The sequence below is a fragment of the Homo sapiens genome, chromosome 12 (genome assembly GCF_000001405.40).
Source record: "Homo sapiens chromosome 12, GRCh38.p14 Primary Assembly".
Classification (NCBI taxonomy): Eukaryota; Metazoa; Chordata; class Mammalia; order Primates; family Hominidae; genus Homo; species Homo sapiens.
The window spans coordinates 82,409,766-82,434,420 of NC_000012.12; the positions used below are offsets into that span (position 1 = coordinate 82,409,766).

At 34.3% G+C, this 24,655-nt stretch overlaps 1 protein-coding gene across 20 annotated transcripts in view; it reads left to right on the forward strand.

Moving 5' to 3' along the window:
* Positions 1 to 24,655, forward strand: part of METTL25 (methyltransferase like 25) — a 120,711-nt gene that overhangs the window by 51,237 nt on the left and 44,819 nt on the right. For 18 of the 20 annotated variants that reach the window (NR_144943.2, NR_144942.2, NR_144941.2 and 15 more), the window contains one exon: positions 21,128 to 21,222. Coding sequence is in view for 11 of the 20 variants with exons in the window: in NM_001319675.2 (NP_001306604.1) it covers positions 21,128 to 21,222 (95 nt within the window). In the remaining 9 variants the exon portion in view is untranslated. Of the gene's footprint in view, positions 1 to 300; positions 726 to 21,127; positions 21,223 to 24,655 lie in introns of those variants that run through there. The other 2 variants (XM_047429661.1, XM_005269186.6) reach the window with 1 other exon arrangement.

Here is a 24,655-nt window from a genome sequence, read left to right on the forward strand (position 1 = left end):
CTTAATATGATATGGGATAAAGAGGTGATTCTCCCAAAGATTCCTCCATTTACTTAAAAAAAATAAAAAACAGTAGAGGGTCACGAATCATCTTTTGATGGTGTCTTTCAATCTGGTGCTGCCATTTCTGTGTCAAACAGAAATTTGTCAAGGGTGCATGATACCTATCCTAGTGTAGATTGTTTCTTAAGTTGTATCATCTCTGGAAATTGTGAGGGAGAAGGCTGCATATATACATATGTAGATCATTATCTTTACTGTTGTTGAGGTTTAAAAATTGTTCCTTTGCTTTAAATTTAGAGGTACTTCATCTGAAAAGGTGTCTAGAGGTTGAAGAAAAACGTGTTGAGCACATCGTTTGAACATATAACATACTGTTTAAGCTTACTTAAACAAATATTCTATATATGATATTCCGTCATATCAAATATTCTATATATGGTACTAAAACTGCTAACATAACATTAACCAGTTAATATCAGCACTAAATCATGTATTATATCATAGAGAAATGTATGACTAATGTCTTAGTCCATTAATGGCAATGAATTAATCCTATCATTGAAACAATGCAAACAATTGCTGTCTTTTCAGTAAAGATCTGACAATATTTTCTATCTCATACAATATGTATTTTCTTAAACAAGACTATTTACTGCTATGGGCTTTTAATGCTGGAAGTTTGGAGGATATTGAGGAATAAAGCATCATTTCTCTTTTCAAAACAGCATGAATTTGACTTCCGTTTCCAGCAGTGTGAGAGATGAGATTTTTCTGAGTGTTCCTCCTGCTACAGTTCAGCTAGATCCTGGCTAAATTAGAACACGTATTTTTTTAGGCATTGCTGAGTCCACACAAAATAAGGGAAATCTCTATGGATCAAGAAGAATTATAAACAAAAACTTTTAAAGAAGAGAATGGGAAGAGGGAGGAAGAGGAGTTGAGACCAAAGGAGGAAACTATGAGCCATAAAGTGATAGATAGTGTTGTTCTGAGATAAATGCTGGTCACATTGAGATCTAAAAACTAATAATGGTCCCCAACTAATACGGAAGCTGATCCTGAAATGTCCATACTAAGCCATACCCTTGAATGAGACAAAGCCATCTTCAGTCTGTCTCATGCATAAGCAAATTCAAATCCTTTAAGGGAACTACTTCTTAAATTCAGGCTCTTGAAATTTCAACAGATTAAAATCTATTAAATATGAGCTCAAATCTTAGAAAATCCCCACTAAATCATAAGATACATGTGGCTAGATATCTTGGCTGACCCTCCTATTATATTGAACTAAAAATGCTGAATACAATTAATTTTTCCTAGAAGCATTGAAAAGCTGGAAACATATATCTAGTCAATATATACAAGAATGCTGAAGTCCTCAAAGATAATGGAAACACTGAAGCTACTAAGGGTATTTGTGTACCATGGCAAACTTGAGCTTTAATAATTTCATAATTAGAAACCACAAAGGTGGGAACAAAAATAAGGGTAGCAGTAGTAGGAAGAGAGTACATTTGAAAAATTCAAGAAGCATTTAAGATTGTTTAAAGGAGATAAAGGAAAAGGGATTATCAAGGATTATTATCAGGTTTCTGTTTTGAGCAGCTGGGTGGGTGACAGAACAATGTATATGATAGGAAACACTAAGGGAGAATCAAGTTTTGGGGCAAAGTTGGAACATGTTTCTTTAATGTTTTTGTTTCATTCCTACCATTTACCATAAAGTGGGGTATATAGCAAGCAGTCAACAAAGGAATAACATATGAAATAAAATTATAAATGGTAAGAAAAAAAAAGCACTGATTCAGCACTGGTCAAAACTAAAGAAGAAACAAAGGTATTTGATGAGACATCTCCAGAAGAAATAATTATATTGACATAAGTAATTTGAGAATTCAAGGTACTTGTTTGGCTTTGCTCTTCTTAGCAAAGATAAGAAACAGAAGAAGGTTAGAGAAAGTTTATATTCCATCAACCACTGGAGCAAAATGATCAAAGCATACTACTCTGGTGAGACAAAGGTCTTACTTAACTTTAAATCTACACAAAGTCAGATTCTTTTGTGATTATAAATTACAATTCCACGCTTCGGTATTCCTTGAGAAGGAACAAGATGCTTCCAAATTAACTAATTTTTAATAAAGAATTATTTAACTTTACAATTTAATAATTAAGCTTCCTATTAGCTATGAAGGTTTATTTCCTCTTCCAAACGTGCGATCTTTAACCACAAAGCATATAATGACCACAAAAGTTACTAAACATGTTTATGGAAGAACATTATGTTTGTTCTCTTGGTTATAGTAGTAGTTTCACATATTTTTGAGTCAGACTCACATTAAGAAACACATTTTACAACACTACCTGGTATATAGAGAAATAAATAAAACTAGTACTTACATTTTACAAAAAAAATAACTGAACTCTTTTTCTTTTTGGTTAGTATTTTTTCCTTAATAGGTACTTAATCTTATAACACATGCATTCCTGTTGACAATCTTATTCAGTTCCTTTCTTTCAAATTTTATAAAATATTCATCACAATCTATTCAATTGATTTCATAAGGCTTTAATGGGTTTTGACTAAGCAGTGTGATGGTAAATGTTTAATGGTTGGCTCTGCCTCTGAATAAAAACCCTAATGTGTAGTATTTCCTCATTCCATTGTGCAAGTATACCTAATGTGGTCAGTTTCAAGCTACCAACCTGATGTCAGTAAATGCTGGGTTGGCAAGAGATGCACACAGTCAGCTCCCTCTGGACCCAGTAAGAGCCAGCTTTTCCATTCCACTGGCTTTCACCTACAGTTTGTAAAACATCGCTATATAAATTTGTTTGTTCTTACTAACTGAATTTGCTCATTTAAGCTGCAAATCACCTTAACTGTGTTATCCTATGTTTACCAAATAGTATTTGGCATATATCAGATGCTAAATATATATTTTTTAAAAGAATAAGTTTCTTTTGACAAGTATAAAAGAATATTTATGTCCTTTTAAGTTTGTTCCTATTTCAGACATTGAACTTTTCACATAAAGGCTCCAGTTTCTCAGTGGAATCTCACAGGGATTTTCCAGATTCATAAATTTCTCCTAAGTTGAAGAGGAAATATTTTACTTTACTTACTGTTGTGCCCCAGCATTGCATGTTTATTACTATAATTTTTTTCTAATAATTTTAACATAAAATTTTAAAAAATAAAGTTTTAAAACAAATTATGTGATTGATTATGCTTCAAAATAAATCCTTGAAGAAAAGAAAGATTTAAAAAACAGTTGTATGTAATTGATTATATTTTAAATTAATTCTTTTCGGTGACTCTCTTTTGGCCTTCCTATAAATCATTAGTATTTTGTCAAGAATCTGGAGATTGAGGCATGAACATTTTTTAGCAACTCCTAATTTAAACCATGAAACTAAAATGAAGACTTTGAAATGATGAGAACATAAGAGCCAATTTAGTAACAACAACATTGGGCCATAAGTATCAATAAATATTTATTCAACATAGAATATGCTGAGATTTAGGAGACACTCAGCAAACTAAGTATGCACCCACTGCCCACTTTGCTAGATACTGAAGATATCTAAATGAAACATTTTAAAGTAATATATAATATAATAAATAGGTTTTGTTACAGATAAGACAACTGTAATACAGTTTGATAGGTACTGTATTAGAGTTATGTATAAGTTACATTCCAAGCATAGAGAGAGTGATTTCTAGATGTCCAAGGGAGTGCAGAAACACTGCATAGAAGAAAAGTTGCTTTGACCGACTAGCGTTCTCCTCTGTCTCTGCAGTATTGTGACCTGGATCGGTTAGCTTTTGTGGATCATCTGTAAATTAGTGAAGCAAGAGAGGGGTTAAATTAGATGATCTGTCTCTTCTGGTTCTGATGATACCATTCTATAACTTGAATGTAGCTTTCTGAAACATGCGTATTATTTCAATTTAACCTTATTTGTATTTATCAAGACATTTACTTTTAGTATCTTTTTTTTCTTACTTATATTGGGTTTGCATAAATAAATAATAAATAATAAATACTCTACTTTCCTGCTATGATTCTGCATTTGGATGATAATAAGAAATTTTTGAAAATTATACTTTTACATTTATACCAGTATAATAATGGCCATAAATGTTGTTTCTCCCAGTTTTATATGTTTGGGTTTTAGGAAGTAAAACTAGCAATAAAAAATTTATAACAAATGTATATATATATATTTTTTCTTAACTATATTAATATTAATAGTGTATTAGTTTGTTCAGTAATTCAGTGAGGAACTATCAGGATCTATCTCGGCTTGAATTAAGTTTCTGGTGTGGCTAGTGTAGGTATTGTTCTTTGCAATCCTACAGTAGATGAGTAAACTTTACTGCCAGCCTTGTAGATTCAGCTGTTTATAAGCTTTTGTTACAATATCACATTACTCCTCATTGTTCAGCTGGACCTATGTCTCAGAAACATTCTTGCCAATTAATATGAGATGAATACAGAGATTTCTAGATGTACTTGGCATTCTGTGCACAATTTACCTCACTCTGACAGCTGTATGTGATCTTCAGTCAGCTCTGTGTTTTCTAGAATACTGGCGCTGATTTTATTTTTGCCATGGGGCATGTTCTTGCTGCCTATAAGTAGTTAGAAATGGAACTTCAATATATTTTGCTTATTTTTTTCTTTAATTTGCACCTCGTTATTTTTTGCGACTAATAGAAAGTGGTTTTTGAAGCGCATGCAGATTGGATTTATTCAGCATAAAAAAGTTCTCCCTGTGTTCATGGTAAATAAAAGAAGCCAATAATGTGTTTAAATCCAAAATAGAAAATGAATATGTCCACTTAAAAGAAGTAGTAAAGAGGAAGAGTTTATACTTTGTATATAAAGTAATATGAAAGCAAAGTTGACAAATTCTTGTCAGAGAGTTGACAGTCAAATTAATATAAAACAGGTTTTTAAAAAACTAGATTATAATCTACTCATTTTATATATAAATCGAGATTTTGATACTGTAGCTAAGCAAATAACCTTGAAAAATATTTTGCTATAGCGTTCTCATTTCTTTTTTCCTGTGGTAAATAAATTACCAGAAAGTTGCCTAAATTTTCTTCATTATCATCCATCTGACACAATGTGTGAAATTTTTATTGGTATGAAGTTACAACATCATCTGTAATATTAGTATAAAAATTATCTCAGGTGTTCCATATGTGTCTCATTATAAATTATTTTATCAAGCATAAAGTTTTGCAGCAGAGGGAACCTGTCATACACAGTGAGAAACTCCACTGGGAAGCTCCTATCACAGTGTTTGCCAAACCAACACAATGTTTTCCCTCAGCACCTGGGTTTTGCCATTGTATAGTCATGCATAAAAATACCAGGACAGTTGTATCTGGACTGATTCATTAATAAAAAATGTTTTAATGTAGATATGACTCCATTAAAGTAATATACATGTCTTTTAAAATTGGGTGTTTATTTTCTTCTTTATATACATCACACTTTATATACATATACCTTGAGATCACATTTCCAGCCTGCGTTTTTAACCAAAGGATAAGTGAAATACTAGTACATTGATCATATAAAGGAATTAGCAGTGGAGATGAGAAGTAGAAAAAAAGGATATTGTAAATCGGGCTATATATACCTGGTGTATTAGGCAGGGTGATCATACACATACATGTAATTAGATTTACTAAGAATGGGCTGACACAATTATGGAGGCTGACAAGTTCCACAGTATGCTCTCTACAGGCTGGAGACCCAGGAAAGCCAGTGGTGTACATTCCTGTGTGAGACTAAACGCCTGAGAATCAGGAATGCCACTGGTGTAAGTCACAGTCCAAAGGCAAGAGAAGACGGATGTCTCAGCTTATGCAGTGAGGTAGTGAGGGAAAGAATTCAACCTTTCTCTAACTTTTTGTCCTACTCAGACCCTCAATGGGTTTGATGATGCCCACCCATACTAGGGAGGGCAGTCTGCTTTATTCAGACCTCATTCAATTCAAACACTCATTTCTTCCCAAAACTCCTTCACGGGCCATCCAGAAATAATGTTTAACCAGATATCCGGGCATCCCATGGCTCAGTCAAGTTGACACATGAAATTAACCGTCACACTTGGCGTGGCCCAGTAGGAAACAAATCAGAGATAATAAATTTAATCATTGTATTGTAATCATTACCATTTTACTATTACCAACTCTCTCCGTTTGTATTTTCTGGGAAACAAAACTTCATACATAGAGTCTATATCTCAGTGATTTAAATTGAAGTTACAGTCTGGTGAAGGCAGAAAGAAAGTAGCAGTAGGGGCTCAGTCCATATTTATGGAATGAATTAGTTAATTGCCATGAACATATAATCATCGTGCTGTGATTTTCTTTAAATGTCTTGAATTCTAGAATCGTTAAGTATCTCCTTTACAATTTGAATCATTGTTGACAACAGCACATAAACATTATCTTTTTAAGTTACTTTTTACACCCACATTTTTTCTGATCATTTAAGAGCAGAGCAATTTTTAGAACTTGCCTGCTTTTAAATTGCCTTCTATATTATTATTCTTCTGGTTATACTATTTTAAGTTTATTCTTCATTATTTTATTAATCCTGAAGAGTAGGTCTGATTTACCTAATTATTTAATTATATTTATCATTTAGGTTTTTTTTTTTTTTTGAGACAGGGTCTCACTCTGTTGTCCAGGCTGGAGTGCAGTATCATGATCATGGTTCACTGTAGCCTCGACCTGGGTTCAGGCAGTCCTCCCTCCCAAGCTTCCCAAGTAGCTGGGACTACTGGTGCGTGACACCACACCTGGTCAATTTTTGCTTTTTTGTTTTGTTTTGTTTTGTTTTGTTTTTGTCATAAAGACAGGGTTTCACTATGTTGCTTATGCTGGTCTTGAACTCATGGATGGGCTGAAGCATTCTGCCCACCTCGGCCTCCCAAAATGCTGGGATTACAGGTGTGAGCACCATGCTGGGCCTATCCTCTTAGTTTTAATATATTTTAGAAACCGGTAACATGTAAGTACTTCACAAATCCTGATAGTTCAATATAGTGTTTAATACACCTTTTATCCGTAGGCAATATTTTGAATATCATATATACTTGGCCTTATTTAAAACCTGAAATGAAAATCAAGAAAATTTTATAGAATTGTCCTGTAACCTCTGATGCTAATTATAAAACTATAAAATTCTAAGGTGGGAAATGAGTTTCTAAACTTGCAACTAAAACTGAGAGGTCATCTTTACTTGAGAGTGTGTCAATCTACATGGCAATTCTTCAGATACCCTTGAAGGATATTTTTAAGGAAACCTAAGGAGTCTTCATCAGTCCTTAAAGAGAATAACATGGAACAGAGACTAAAGTTTAAAATCAAGGTAAAATGGCTGGTAAATGACAAATACTTGACTTGAAAAAAAATCTATATTTTGTGGGAGATTGTAAGATGCCTATCAACCTAAATTTTACTTTATTGTTTCAAAGCATTATAAAAGTGATGTAGATGCATGTGACACACAAAAAGGAAGCTTTAATAAAAAACTTTCAACGATGAATGAACTCAAAATATTAAACATTTATTTCTATGTTTACCTTTCAACATAAGTAATAAATATATTCACATTATAAAATGAGTTCTGAAAGTATGCAAGCATATACGTTAAAAAGTTAAAGTTTGTTTGGCATTACTTGTGACACTCCCTTCACATATTTCTTGCTATGCACCTACATATACAAATGGGTACATGTACAAATACCTTTTTTCTAACAAAAGGATTCCAACTGAATTTAATAATTCATTCATACATTTATATATTCTTTCAAAAATATTTATTGAGTGTCTACAATGTGCCAGATACTTTTGAATGAGAAGTGGAAAAAAAGTCCCTGCACTCATGTGATTTACCTCCTAGTAGGTAGAGACAGCAGAGTAACCAGCAGATATATATCTAGTACATCAGATGGTGATAAGTACTATGGAGAAAAATAAAGCAATGTGAGTTTGGAGGCATGCTGTTTTATATAGGGTAGCCAGGAGAAGCTTTGTTGTTAAGATGACGTTGAGCAGACAGTTGAAAGATGAGGGAGCAAGCCATGCAGCTGTCTTGGAGACAGACGGTCTTCCAGACAGAGGGAACAGCAAGTAAAAAACCCAAAGGCAGGAACCTGTTGGCCCTTTCAAGAAAGAACAGAGATGAGCATAGCTAAAACAGTGTTGTGACAAAAAGCAGGGAAATTTCTTAGGGAACTATTGCTGGAATCCATATGGAAGGTGGCGATAGTGCAGATCAGAGGGGAACTTTGCAAGAGATAGTTAAATTCTGAATATATTTTATATGTATTGACACTTAATATGCAAGTGTAAAAGAGAAAAGCAAAGTATATATCAATGGCTTTTGAACTAAAATAATGGAAGAATGGAGTTGTCATTTATTGATCTGGATATAACTGCAGAAAGGGCAGACTGAGATGAGAGTTGTTCAGTTTCGAACAGGTTGACTTTGTGTATGTTTTGATAAATATATTGTACATGTTGCTATTTACAGAGAAATGTAAAGGCACATCAAACATAAAGGTGTAGTACTAAATCATGACTGCATAAAATTATAATATATACTATTCTGCTGTAGCAATTTTGTAGCCACCTCCCGTTGCTATTTCATTGAGGTCAAATGTTTGAAATACCCACTTTAAAAAATGTGTGACACTAATAATCTCCACCTGAGCAGTTAGTCTCTTCAGTAAGTTGCATATTGCAGTAAAAATGATATTTCACAGTTCTAGCATATTTCTCATCTTGTTTAGTATAATACCATAAACCTTGAATAACATCATGGGATCTATACTAAGTGCCACTCGTGATGCTGTAAATGTTCCCAAGAAGGCAAGTTATGACAAAAAAACTTGAGTTGCTTAATATGTACCATAGATTGAGGTCTGCAGCTGCAGTTGACCACCATTTCAAGATAAATGAATCCATCATAAGGACTATTGTGAAAAAGAAAAGAAAATTAGGGAAGCTGTGAAAGTGTCACTGACACTTTTTGTGGAAGGTTTTTGAAAATGCAGTTTTATGTGGGTATGTGATTGTGAAAAGAAAAGCCTGTCTATAAACACTAATTTGATTTGAGAAAAAGTGAAGTCATTATATGACAAGTTAAAGCAAAAGGATCTAAATCTACATCAGTAAAGGATTTAAAGCTGGAGAATTTAATGTCAACAAGGGATGGTGTGATGATTTTAGAAAGACGTTTGGCTTAAAACAAATTGTCAAGATAATAGGAGAAGCAGCAGATGCTGATCAAGAGGCAGCAGACAAGTTCCCAGATGCTATTAAGAAAACTGTTGAAATGTAAGGGTATCTTCCTGAAAAAATTTTCAGTGCAGATAAAAGTGCCATATTCTGGATAAAAAAAAATGCCACAAAGAACACTTATTAATAAGGAAGAGAAGCAAGCACCAGGATTTAAGGCAGGAAGAGATAGGCTAAGGCTACTGTTTTGTGCAAATTCAGTCAAGTTTATCATCAGAAATGTCCTTATCTCTAAAATTACTAACTCCTGGGCCTTGAAGGGAAAAGATAGACATCAGTTGCCTGCTTTTCAGTTGTACAACGAGAAGGCCTGGACAAGAACCCTTTTTCTGGATTGATTTCATCAATGCTATGTCTGAAGTCATGAAGTATCTTGTCCATAAGGGGCTGCTTTTAAAGTTCTTTTGATATGATACTGGACAATGTGCCTGGCCATGCAGAACCCCGTAAGTTCAACACTGCTTTAAAGAAGATGTACAGATAGCTAACAAGTGTATGGAAAAGTGCTCAACATTACTGATCATCAGGGAAAGGCAAATTAAAACCACAATGAAATGTCACCTCATACCTGTTAAAATGACTGCTATTAAAAAAAAAAAGCCACAGGACAACAAATCTTGACAAGGATATAAAGGGAACCCTTTTACACTGTTGGGAGGAATGTAAATTGGTGCAGTCGCTATGGAAAATGATACGGAGGTTCCTCAAAGAATTAAAAGTAGAATTACCATTTGATTCAGCATTCTGACTTTTGAGTATGTATCTAAAGGAATTGAAATCGGATCTCGAAGAGATATCTGTGCTCCTGTATTTATGACAGCATTATTCACAGTAACCTAAGATATGGAATCATTTCATCTCCATTAATGAATAAATGGATAAAGAAACTGTGGTACACACATACAATGGAATATTACTCAGCCTTTAAAAAGAAGCAAGTCCTGCCATTTTCTACAATATGGATGGACCTGGAGAAAATTATCTTAAGTGAATTAAGCCAGGCAGAGAAAAATACTGCATGATCTCACTTGTATGTGAAATCTAAAATAGTCAAACACAGAAGCAAGAGCAGGGGCTGGGTGGGAGAGAAATAGGGAAGTATTAGTCAAAGGGTACAAAGTTTTGATTATACAAAATAAAATTTGGAGATATATTGTGTGTATAATACAGGGGCTATGATTCACAGTACTGTATTTTATACTTAAAAATTCCTAAAAGGGTGTATCTTATATTAAGTCCTTTTACTACAAATGGAGAAAAAAACAGGGAGGAGACAACTTTTAAAGGTAATGAATAAGTTTTTGGCATTGCTAATGATGCTGGCTTGATGGCTTTACAGGTGTTGACTTATTTCCAAACACATGAAGTTGTATACATTACATATCTGCAGCTTTTTATATGTCAACCATACCTCAATAAAACAGTTTTAAGAAAAGAAAGGGAGGGGAAAAATACATATCAGGTGTGAATTGTTCATTCATTAGAAACTAAAGAATATTTAGCCATGAATTGAGTGACTGGCCCATATTAAGTACTCAATAAATATATATAAGATTAAAAATCCAAATTGTAAAAAGTCGAAACAGCAAATGAAGTGTGAAATGAAGCTGGCAAACCAGGCACAAGCAGATCATGTAGGATTTTGTCAATTGTACTAAGGATTGGGGTCTTAATATTAAAAGGAGAAAAGGGATTTGTTAAGGAGAAGAAGGATTTTTTAAACAGGAAAGTGAACTGATGAGGTTTGATTTTTTTTTTTCTCTTTTTGGAGGTGGAGTCTCGTTCTGTCACCCAGGCTGGAGTGCAGTGGTACAATCTCGGCTCACTGCAACCTCCACCTCTGCCTCCTAGGTTCAAGAGATTCTCCTGCCTCAGCCTCCGAAGTAGCTCGGATTACAGGTGCCCATCACCATGCCTGGCTAATTTTTAAATTTTTAGTACAGACGGGGTTTCGCCATGTTGGCCAGGCTGGTCTTGAACTCCTGACCTCAGGTGATCTGCCCACCTTGGCCTCCCAAAGTGCTGGAATTATAGGCGTGAGCCACCATGCCTGGCCCTGACGAGGTTTACATTTTAAAAGATCATCATGGTTGCAGAATTGAGATTGGAATACAAGGGAGCAAGAGTGGATGTTGGCACACCAATCAAAAGACTGTTGTACCAGTCCAGGTAGTTTGGGATTGTGGAAATAGAGAATTTATAGATTTGAGGAAAATTTAGGAGATAAATAAACAGGAATTTCTAAAACAAACTGAATGAGAAAGTGTCAGAGATGTCTCCAGAATTTTTTGACTTGTGTAAATTAATAAATATTAGTGCCAGTTATTAAATTCTGAAACTTCATGAGATCTAGATTTGTATTATGAAGTTAGTTTAATTTTACATATGTTGATTTTAAGGTGCCAATGAAATATCCATTTGGAAATGGTGGTTAGGATATTGATAAGGCAAGAAATAACTAAGATCAAAGCAGAATTGAAGGAGATAGAGAAGCCAAAAACCCTTCAAAAAAATAAAGATCAACAAAATTGATAGACCACTAGCAAGACTAATAAAGAAGAAAAGAGAAAAGAATCAAATAGATGCAATAAAAAATGATAAAGGAGATTATCACCACCGATCCCACAGAAATACAAACTACCATCGGAGAATACTATAAACACCTCTACTCAAATAAACTAGAAAATCTAGAAGAAATGGATAAATTCCTTGACACATACACCCTCCCAAGACTAAACCAGGAAGAAGTTGAATCTCTTAATAGAACAATAACAGGCTCTGAAATTGAGGCAATAATTAATGGCTTACCAACCAAAAAAAGTCCAGGACCTGACGGATTCACAGCCGAATTCTACCAGAGGTACAAGGAGGTGCTGGTACCATTCCTTCTGAAACTATTCCAATCAACAGAAAAAGAGGGAATCCTTCCTAACTCATTTTATGAGGCCAGCATCATCCTGATACCAAAGCCTGGCAGAGACACAACAAAAAAATAGAATTTTAGACCAATATCCGTGATGAACATCAATGCAAAAATCCTCAATAAAATACTGGCAACCCGAATCCAGCAGCACATCAAAAAGCTTATCCACCATGATCAAGTGGGCTTCATCCCTGGGATGCAAGGCTGGTTCAACATACGCAAATCAATAAACGTAATCCGGCATATAAACAGAACCAAAGACAAAAACCACATGATTATCTCAATAGATGCAGAAAAGGCCTTCGACAAAATTCAACAGCCCTTCATGCTAAAAACTCTCAATAAATTAGGTATTGATGGGACGTATTTAAAAATAATGAGCTATGTATGACAAACCCACAGCCAATATCATACTGAATGGGCAAAAACTGGAAGCAGTCCCTTTGAAAACTGGCACAAGACAGGGATGCCCTCTCTCACCACTCCTATTCAACATAGTGTTGGAAGTTCTGGCCAGGGCAATTAGGCAGGAGAAGCAAATAAAGGGCATTCAATTAGGAAAAGAGGAAGTCAAATTGTCCCTGTTTGCAGATGACATGATTGTATATTTAGAAAACCCCATCATCTCAGCCCAAAATCTCCCTAAGGTGATAAGCAACTTCAGCAAAGTCTCAGGATACAAAATCAATATGCAAAAATCACAAGCATTCTTATACACCAATAACAGACAAACAGAGAGCCAAATCATGAGTGAACTCCCATTCACAATTGCTTCAAAGAGAATAAAATACCTAGGAATCCACCTTACAAGGGATGTGAAGGACCTCTTCTAGGAGAACTACAAACCACTGCTCAACAAAATAAAAGAGGATACAAACAAATGGAAGAACATTCCATGCTCATGGATAGGAAGAATCAATATTGTGAAAATGGCCATACTGCCCAAGGTAATTTAGAGATTCATTGCCATCCCCATCAAACTACCAATGACTTTCTCCACGGAATTGGAAAAAACTAAAGTTCATATGGAACCAAAAAAAAGCCCTCATTGCCAAGTCAATCCTAAGCCAAAAGAACAAAGCTGGAGGCATCACGCTACCTGACTTCAAACTATACTACAAGGCTACAATAACCAAAACAGCATGGTACTAGTACCAAAACAGAGATGTAGACCAATGGAACAGAACAGAGCCCTCAGAAATAATACTACACATCTACAACTATCTGATCTTTGACAAACCTGACAAAAACAACAAATGGGGAAAGCAATCCCTGTTTAATAAATGGTGCTGGGAAAACTGGCTAGCCATATGTAGAAAGCTGAAACTGGATCCCTTCCTTACACCTTATACAAAAATTAATTCAAGATGGATTAAAGACTTACATGTTAGACCGAAAACCATAAAAACCCTAGAGGAAAACCTAGGCAATACCATTCAGGACATAGGCATGGGCAAGGACTTTATGACTAAAACACCAAAAGCAATGGCAACAAAAGCCAAAATTGACAAATGGGATCTAATTAAGCTAAAGAGCTTCTGCACAGCAAAAGAAACTACCATCGGAGTGAACAGGCAACCTACAGAATGGGAGAAAATTTTTGCAATCTACTCATCTGACAAAGGGCTAATATCCAGAATCTACAATGAACTCAAACAAATTTACAAGAAAAAAATAACCCCATCAAAAAGTGGGTGAAGGATATGAACAGACACTTCTCAAAAGACATTTATGCAGCCAACAGGCACATGAAAAAATGCTCATCATCACTGGCCATCCGATAAATGCAAATCAAAACCACAATGAGATATCATCTCACGCCAGTTAGAATAGTGATCATTAAAAAGTCAGGAAACAACAGGTTCTCGAGAGGATGTGGAGAAATAGGAACACTTTTACACTGTTGCTGGGACTGTAAACTAGTTCAACCATTGTGGAAGACAGTGTGGCAATTCCTCAGGTATCTAGAACTAGAAATACCATTTGACCCAGCCATCCCATTACTGGGTATATACCCAAAGGATTATAAATCATGCTGCTATAAAGACACATGCACACATATGTTTATTGCAGCACTACTCACAATAGCAAAGACTTGGAACCAACCCAAATGTCCAACAATGATAGACTGGATTAAGAAAATGTGGCACATACACACCATGGAATACTCTGCAGCCATAAAAAATGATGAGTTCATGTCCTTTGTAGGGATATGGATGAAGCTGGAAACCATCATTCTCAGCAAACTATCGCAAGGACAAAAAACCAAACACCGCATGTTCTCACTCATAGGTGGGAATTGAACATTGAGAACACTTGGACACAGGAAGGGGAGCATCACACCCCGGGGCCTGTTGTGGGGTGGGGGAAGGGGGGAGGGATAGCATTAGGAGATATACCTAATGTAAATGACGAGTTAATGGGTGCAGCATGCCAACATGGCACATGTATACATATGTAACTAACCTGCACATTGTGCACATGTACCTTAGAGCTTAAAGTATAATATAAAACTATATATATATATATATGTATAAAGGATATTGATAATGCAAAACTAGATCTCACAGAAGACTATAGGATTCCAGATATAATATAGGAATGGTAATGGGTTGATAAATACCTCCCAAAAAGTCATGTTCATGAAGAACTTCAGAATATGACCTTATCTGAAAACTGGGTATTTGCAAATTTAATTAGTTAAGATGGAGTCATCATACTGGATTGGGTAGGCCCTAAATCTAATGATTGATATCCTAGGAGAGTGCACACAGAGAGACACAGAGAAAACTGCCATGTGAAGACAGGTAGAAAATGACAAGGATTGCTAGTAATCACCAGAAACTGGTAATGGAAGAAACAATGAAGTATTCTTCCCTAGAGCCTTCAGAGGGTCTGTGGCCTAGCCAACAGCTTGATTTTGGACTGCTGGCATCTAGATTTGTGAGAGAATTAATTTCTGTTGTCTTAAGCCATCCAGTTTGTGGTTATTTTGTTACTGCAGCCTGAGAAAACTAATACAAGAATTATCATTGTGTATTACGGTATAGATAAGATATCCTAGAGAAGGTATAGTTAGGGGAAGAGTATAGGTAGTGCAAAGGTTACAAATTGGCTATCACTGACAGAGGGTGCTCACAGACTAATTTTGGGCAACTTGGGCAATTTTATTATGCCCACCTTGTGCTTTAAAAAGCAGTAGGACCCAGCAGATGTGATACTTGGTTACCATACAAATAGGTTTATACCTATTACATCCTACCTACCACTTTATACATGTGTTTAACCACTGCAGGCATTTGAGTTTTTGAGCCTTTGTTCAAAGAAAGTATTAAAGGGATGTGGGGAATGGCAAGAGAAAACCACAGGAACATTTCATAGGCAGATAGAATGTGATGAGTCAGCAAGGGAGTATAAAGAGAATTAAGGCCACAAATAAGAAAGAATGGCATTATGGAAGCCAGATGAAGAGATTGTTTAATGAATGAGGTATCAAGAGTTTCCGGAAATCTACAGTATTTTTTAACCCATTGTGTTTGTTCTCAGAGATTACGCTGTTGAGGGAAACAAGAGCTGCTGCTGACATGGTTAATGTGTGTGTTTTAGAAAGATAATATTGCTCTTAGTATAAAGGATGGGCAAAAAGACCAAAACAAAGCGACTAAAGATTTAATGAGTAGGTATTGCATTACCAAGTTAGTAGCTAATGAAGACTGAATATGAACAGGAAGTATAATTAAGAGGATGTATGTATAAGAATTTAGAATAATGGAAAATGGTTCTAAAGTTCAAGCTTGTTTAGTTAGGTGGATAATGATATTAACACAAGAAGGAATAACTAGTACAATCTCTAAGAGATTATTGATTCTAAAGCTTGCAAGAAATACTAAGAAATAGGATAGAAAAGAAGAGACTTCATCTATTCCAAAATTATGGAAGTGAGGCTAGGGGAAAGCAATTTGATTCACTGATAAAGGATGATTAATGCTTAATTTGATTAGATTTGAATATGGGTATATGAATGCAAAGAGAAGACTGATACATAAAAGTAGAAATGGTGAACTCTAACTTTGATTCAGGTCATATGAGGGAGCTTCAGTCCTCACTGCAGACAGAATAAAACTAATGAAACAGATTCTGAAGATAATATTGAGGATCTACATAAAAGGCTTTGTTTGACTTTGAGGGTTTGCTGCCTCCTTATCAGTTGTTTGCATTTAACTCCATTAGATAAAGAGCAAAGGTGTGAGGCCACTGTGATCTCAGCCGCAAAGGAAACTGTTAACGCAGATTCAGAAAACTTCAAGATGGTTATGTAACCACGTGGTGTCCAGAGGAGTGATGTGTTTTCCTGTAGCTTTGAGCCAAGGCTGGCAGTTCCTGTAAACTGCAGTCGTATCTTAAAGTTCCTAGGTGTTTTGGATAGGAATTCAGGGATCCAGGTGCATCAAGGAAGACTGCCCTTCTGTCCTTCATACGTTGTTAAATATTTAAGAGGGAGCTCTCTTACACACAGGTTGAGTACCCTCTGTCAGCCTTTGTTGTGGTGGTAAATAGTAGCTTTATGTGTTCTAAGGGAGACCGTAACCCTCCTTCAGCCTCATAATCTTCATCAGCACAAGTCAGGAAACATTTTTGAAGTAAGACCATCTTTTATTATGCTCCACTTCTCCAATCACAGCCCCATGGGCTCCAGGTGTGATGGCTCCCTTGCTGGCTTCCATCTGTATCACCTGGAAACAAGAGGGATCCCAGGAATCCTGTGTTTCTCTGCCCATATCTTCGCTTTATCACCAGAAATCAGTTGGGAAGCCCAGAACTCTGTTCCCATGGAAAAATTTTCACCCCATCTTCCCTCTACCACAACACTTACAGCTTCACCACTTTGTCTCTAGAACTCTGAGAACTAATCCCATCATGCCTTTTATCCCTATTCATATTAGCTACCACCAGAGCCTGAGGACTCACAGCTCGTTTCTTATTCCTAGGACCCTAATCAAAGGTATCTCCATAAGCGCTTGGTTTTTACTAAGTATCCCATTTTCTGGAATTCACAGTCAGTCATTATCAAAATTGCCTATATATACTGCCTCTTCTCTGAAAGTTTTTTTATTTTCCTACCTAATCAAAACCTAGCTCTTGTAATGAAGCACACTACCCATACTCCTCAAGCAGTGGATTTCTCTCCCACATTCCTTGTATGGAATAAGCCTCCATACTTCTCATTGCTAATCGTAGACTGTGTGTGTTATCTAATGTTGTGTAAGAAGTCACCCCAAAACTCAATGGCTTATAGCGACAACAATTATTTAGTATCTCTCATAGTTTCTGTGGGTCAAGAATTTGGGAGTATACTTGGCTATGGGTTTCTTGTATTAGATTTTTCCTTCTAATAATATACCCTTTCCAGTGTAGTGTATTTTTCATATATGCTGTACCCCTTTCAATCTAATGTTAAGTAGTATTTTTTCTAGTCCAAGTTTTCTTTAGATTATCACTGAGGGAAGACCTCTCTGCCTGGAGAGTAACTATATCCCACTGGAAGCTCAGTTTTTAAATTTTTGTTTCATATTTCATTAAATCTTCCTCTCATCCTTATGGCATGCTTCTTTATTAGATTTAAATCTCTGCTCAAATAGCACACCCTCAGAAAAAGACTTCTGTGTTAATTAGAACAGAGATGTTTTATGGGTATTCCTGAGATATTGTTTCCCTTGTTCCCTGGGTTTCGCCTGTGACCACAATCATCATCTGTTTATTCTAGTGTGATATACAGATTTTGCTATATTCCAAGATTGCTGAGCTATAAAAAGTTTGGCAAACATTAAGATGAAGATTTAAATGTAAAATAGATTTAGGACCAAAGTAACAGTGACTTAAACAAGACACAGGGACATTTATATTTCAATCCAGAGGTCAACAAGTAGAACTGCTCTAGAAGCTTTGTACCAAAAAGTCTTACAGGAACCGAAGGTTCTTCTGTTTTTTTGCTCTACTCTCTACTGCTCTTGTTTGCATGGTCTTAGTTTGCTTGGTACCGTGAACACATTCCAGACAGAAAAGAAATTAAGTAAGCAGGTAGGGGTAGAAAGTGTGGGTGAAAGAACATACCCCCCCATCCCTTTTAAGTACGTGACCTGGAATTTGCACATATAATTTCTGCCCACATTCAACTGGCCACAACCTACTCATGTAGCTATCCTAGTAGTTGCATGGAAATCTGAGAATTGCAGCCTCTAGTCTCAGCAGTTGAGTTCTCTGTTAGTACTAGGAATAAGGAGAGAACGGATGGGTAAAGGGAGGAGTAGCTGTTTTATTGGTTAGTAATAAACCAGTTTGAATAAAATAGCACACCCCTGTCTCTCTAGCCCTTTACTTTTTACAGCGAGATCTGTATTTCTCTTTTTATTTGTCAGGAAAAAAATAAAATACTTATTGTAACCCTTTCATTTAGCAATAATCATGTCTCACTTAAATCATAAAAGCTTCAGTAAAACCCAAACCAGTCTTTGAAGTCATCTTGGAAATAGAAGAAGTAGCCCAGAGTCCCTAGGACTTGGATAGGCTGCAAGGGCTCTATGAGTCCTATGCAATTGTAACTGAAATTGTTTGTTAATGTACATTTATATAGCATGAGTGTTTAAGAGCATGAGTTCTGGATTCAGATTGCCTGAGTTTAAATTCCAGCTCTGCCTTGTGCTTGATTTGTAAGTAAGGCAATTGACTTAACCTGTCTGTCTGTGCTCAGTTTCCCTATCTGGAACATGAGAATAATAGTATACCTACTTCACAGAATTGTTCTAGGAACTGAAGCTAGTTAATACATTTAAAGGACTTACAATAGTGTCTCAATGTTAAGTGCTGTGTAAATACTAGCATTTTTATTGATACATAATATTTGTACATATTTACAGGGTATATGTGATATTTTGATAAATGCACAGAATGTGTAATGATCAAGCCAGGGTATTCAGGATATCCATCACTTCAAGCATTTATCATTTCTGTGTATTGGGAACATTTCAAATCTCTTCTAGCTGTTTTTAAATATACAATATATTGTTGTTAACTATAGCTACCTTGCTGTGCTATCGAATATTAAAACTTATTTCTTCAATCCAATTGTATGTTTGTACCAATTAATCTACCTCTCTTCATCTACCTCTCCCCACAGCACATATACCCCTCCCAGCCTCAAGTAACTGTCATTCTACTCCCTATCTCCATGAGATAATATTTTTAGCTCTCACATATGAGTGAGAATGTGCAATATTTGCCTTTTTGTGCCTGGCTTATTTCACTTAACACAGTGACTTCCGTTTCTACCCATATTGCTGCAAATGTAGGGTTTTTTTTTTTTTTTGACCAAATAATACTCTATTGTGTATATACCACATTTTCCTTACCTATATCTATTCATCTGTTGATGGATACTTAGGATAATTTCATATCTTTGCTACTGTGAATAGTGCTGCAATAAACATGAGGTTGTAGATATCCTTTTGAGATAATTGATTATTTTCCTTTGGATAAATATCCAGTAATGGGATTTCTGGATTGTATGTATGGTAGTTCTGTTTTTGTTTTTTTGAGAAACCTCCATGCTGTTTTTCATATGGCTAGCTACATGATTTGCATTTCCCTGATGATTAGTGATGTTCAGCATTTTTTCATACACCTCTTGGCCATTTATATGCCAACTTTTCAGAAATGTCTGTTCAGATCCTTTGGCTACATTTTAATTGAATTAGTTGTTTTGCTGTTGAGTTGTTTATTTGTATTATTATTTATATTCCTAGGGAGGATCGTCCATATCTTCCATCTGATTATCAGTAGGGTCTGTTATAAATTTTTATTTAATACCTGAACATCTGGATAGGCTATGATTGTAACATCTTTCTTAGGCTATGATTGTAAAAGTTAAACTTGTTCTCTTTTAATCAAAAGTCATCTGATCCCTCATGGTACAGAAGTTTATTTAGGGGAAGCTATCCCAATTGCATTTTCTTACAAAGCACCTTTTTGTTTTTATTTTATTTTACTTTTTATAATATAATATAAATTAATATTTATGTTTATCTCGACTTTTTTTTAATTGTCACTGGGTTTGTTTTAAATAAAATTTTCCAGGTCTTAATTTAAAATAGAAATTGCTTTTTTTTTCTTTTCAAAAACCCTGTGGAACTAATAGTTCTACATCAGAAATTTTAACATCACCAAGTTGCATGTGTAACTATAAGTTGAGCAGTAGATATGTGATTAAGTAATGAACATTGATTTTTGTTTTTGTTGTAAAACAGGTGCAATTGAGCTGAATTGGGTCATAGTTGAAAATATTACAGTCTGTTAGTATAATGAAGAAATAAGAGCCTGTACAGCTGTTCTTTTTCTGAAAGGGGAACATAGTGGCTAAAAGAAAAAATCTGATGCTTCAACATTGTTAGGAATGAATTTATATTGTCCTATAATAAATTGCCAAATGTCATATTTAATAAATCATTTTTAAAAAGTCAGACCAACAATAAATTTTCAATATCTCATTACTTATCTCCTATAGTTATATTGAATATCAAGAGTATTTGCATTTTAAATTGCTAAATCTTACAGAAATTGTTTTGGCAAATTGGTTGGTACCAGACTTGGAATTTAAACACAAAGCAGCTGTGTTGAGCAAATACCATTTTCATAACATTTGTATGCTTTCAATTAACAAACTGGAAGGAACTGTTAAACATCACCATTTCCATGTTTAACTACTGTTTTTACTTTCTCAATGACTGATTTGCTTTCTTGGTAGATTATTTATTTTAACTGAAAAAGAAAGAATTTTATTTAAATAATCCGTATTTTTCCCCCATCTGCAGAACGTACTCAGGAAAAGTGGGGATTTCCAATGTGCCACTATTTAAAGGAAGAGAGATGGTGCTGTGGTCGTAATGCCAGAATGTCAGCATGTTTGGTATGGTTATATTTTTTCCTGGAGTAACAGCTTTATCCAGATGTTGTAGAATTTATTATTTTTGGCTAGTATCATGCATTCAATGCCAAATTTTGCAGAACATCCCATTAATGCTTTTGTGCATTGGAAATTATAAGAAAAAAATGACTTGCCCTTTAAACAATATCCACTCTACATGCAGTGTCATGATAAAATTATATATATTTTAATTATTAAATAAAATATAATGTAAAGTGTTCAATACTTTATCCAACGCTCTGTGGTTTGTGTTTCTTTATAGCAGATCGTTTGGTTTCCTAAATTTTTATAGAATGGGAAAAATATTAAGCTAATTGAGATATGAAGTAACTATCTAATTAAATAAAACATTTATTGTGCTGCATTTGACTAGTGCCCTCAGACCTAGAACACTCTAGCCCATAATGTTCTCTGTTCATGGCACTATGTCAGTTTACAAAGAAATGAGTTAAATAATGTAAGTGATTTTTGTGTTATCAGAAAATTAAAATACTGCAGCTATGTAGAATTAATAAATTTAGAGACCTAAAGTACAACGTAAGGACTATAGTTACTATTGTATTATATACTGGAAATCTTCTGAGTAGATTTTAGGTGCTCTTACTGCACACACACACAAACAGTAATTATGTAAGATGGTGGATATGTTATTAATAAATTGCTTACCTATTATAATCATTTCACTAGATATAGATGCTGCTCAGCTTATGATGGGGTTATGTCCCAATAAACCCTTCATACCTTGAAACTACAGACAAAAATGCACTTAATATACCTAACTTACCAAATATCATAGCTTAACTCAGCCTACTTTAAATGTGGTCAGAACACTTAAACATTAACCTACAGTTGGGCAAAATCATCTAACACAAAGCCTGTTTTATAATAAAGTGCTGAATATCTCATGCAATTTATTGAAAACTGTATGGAAAGTGAAAAATAGAATGGTTGTATGAGTATTCAAATTATAGTATCTACTGAATGCATATCACTTTTGCACTATTGCAAAGTTGAAAGTTGGGAACTGTCTATATATATATAAACATCATGTTGTATACTTTAAATTTATGCAATAAAATATTTAACAAAGTAAAATAAAATAAAATACAGTTGATTAAATAATATGTTTAATGTCCAACTGCAAGATAAACCAATTCTTTTAGGACCCATTATTTCTATGCCTGTTACATAGCAATATAAGAAATAGTGTGCCAGTGTTCTAAGTTATATACTAGAATTATCTTAGAAATGTATTTATGCTAACATAATAATTTCCTTTGGTAGCCCCACTTAAATTACTTTTCTGGAAATTTGTCTTGTTCTCTCACTCTCTAGTAAATGGTACTTGTTCAAGGTCTTGTTAGAATGACAGCTTCTTCTTGGGATAACTTGAGCATCAAAATGCTCATAGCCAGTGTTATACCCTTGACAAAAAAAGAGAGAGATTAGATTTAAAAAAAGAAAAAGCAACTGGGAAGAAATGTAGACTATCTAAAAGAAAAGAACTATGTAATATCCCTTAGAAAGACAAAAGAATAGATTGTATCCATAAAAAAGAATTATTTCTATTAAAATAAACATTCAGAGAACCAAAACAAATACTTTGGAAAATAAATTCTGTAAATATAGAATTAGCAGACCATGCTGGCCTTAACTTGCCCTGATCAATGTCAGCTGCCCATGGAATGCCCTTCTCCTTAGCTCCATCCCAACCCATGTCCACCTTGTCTTATTTTTTTGATTCCAAAGTAATGTTGGAAAATCTAAGGAACAATTCTTTTAATATATCTTATTTTATTGCCTTTCGCTCCATAACTGACATTTTTGAAAAATATTCAAATCTTAAGTGGTCTTCTTTAAAAAAAAAAAAAAAAAAAAGATACTTTGCTGGGTTTTCTGGGGAATGCTTTCAGATAAACAGTTAAGGATACTAACCAGACACAAAATATTAATTAAATTAGAGCAATATCATTAGCATATGTTAAGCCTGATAAAACTTCTAAATTATTCCAGAGTAGCATGAAATGAATGCTTGGTATGTTTTCTCATCCTCTTTGTTCATTGTTCAAGAATAGTATTAATGTTTGCAAAACACTTTGTAACCACCTACCTGATTATTTTTTATTATGTAATCACAATTTATTATTTCTATTTCTAAATTAAGCTTATCAGCAACACATACCAAAAGCAGTCTTGGGGTATATGATATTTTTATGGACACCAAATCGCCTCTTTTTAAATAGTCTATTTTTTTTTAATTCAGTTTGGCCTTTAGGAAAATTTATAAGAAAAATCTAATCTGAAATTAGCACAAGGAGTACCATAAATGAAAACTCATTGTTATCTTCAAGGATAAATCTGTTCTGGACCTGTTGCTGTTATCATAATATGAAAATTATGTAATAGCTGTCTCCTGTATTCGTAACATTCTACTTGGCTGTAGATGTTCAGTGAAAGTATCCTTCAAGTAAATGGGAATATTACATTTTTTTTCTTCAAACCATTTCCGTGAAGCCAGTTTTCATGCAATGAACTCTTTTTCCCACTAACTCCACATGGTGTGAGGGCATGTTAAACCAGGATTCAAATAACAGGTTTTTAGTTCTTGCTCAGTTCTTTGCTAACTAGCTATGCAATTTGAGGAAAGTTAACTTATCTTGATAGTGATCTTGTGTATCTACAAAAATTGCTCTTATACTTATGAAAAGATATTGTAAATTATCTTTTCATTTTAAAAGTGTGTGATTTAGCTATATGTAAACAGTTTCATTTATGAAAATATAAAAACCTGAAGCAAATATGGGTATTTTAAATTTGAATAGCAAGTATATGCACATCTCTTATACATTTATTACTTTTCTGTGTTTGAAATGTTTCCTAATTTAAACTTTTTTAATAAAATTTAGCTAAAAATTATATATATTTGGAAATATATCTAAAAACTCAAAGTTTCAGAATACTCTATTCCATATTTAAATTATGACAAATCTTTTATATATTTTGAAGTGTGAGTATTTATTATAAATGTTAGGAAATATTTTGTAAAAAATATTTTGGATTTTAAATAAATATAAATGCAAAAACCAGTGTATATAAAATTGTAAAAATATGTTTTACTTTCTCTTCTACCTGGTACTTGATCATATGTGAACTTGATTTGAATTTGTAGATCACACAGACCAAAAATACATATAGTTTTCCAAAATAAGTTTTTAATTATAATCTGGATTTTTTTTGTTCACTAAAAGATGAAATCATATGTTTATTAAAATTATGAGAAAATATGTTAAAATATATAAATATATCTATGTCTGTATATGTGCATAATAATAGTGTTGGATTTATTTGATTGTTTTAGCTACACTAAAAATGAACCAAGACTATGTCATTTCATTTCTTTCCTGTTTTCTAATTC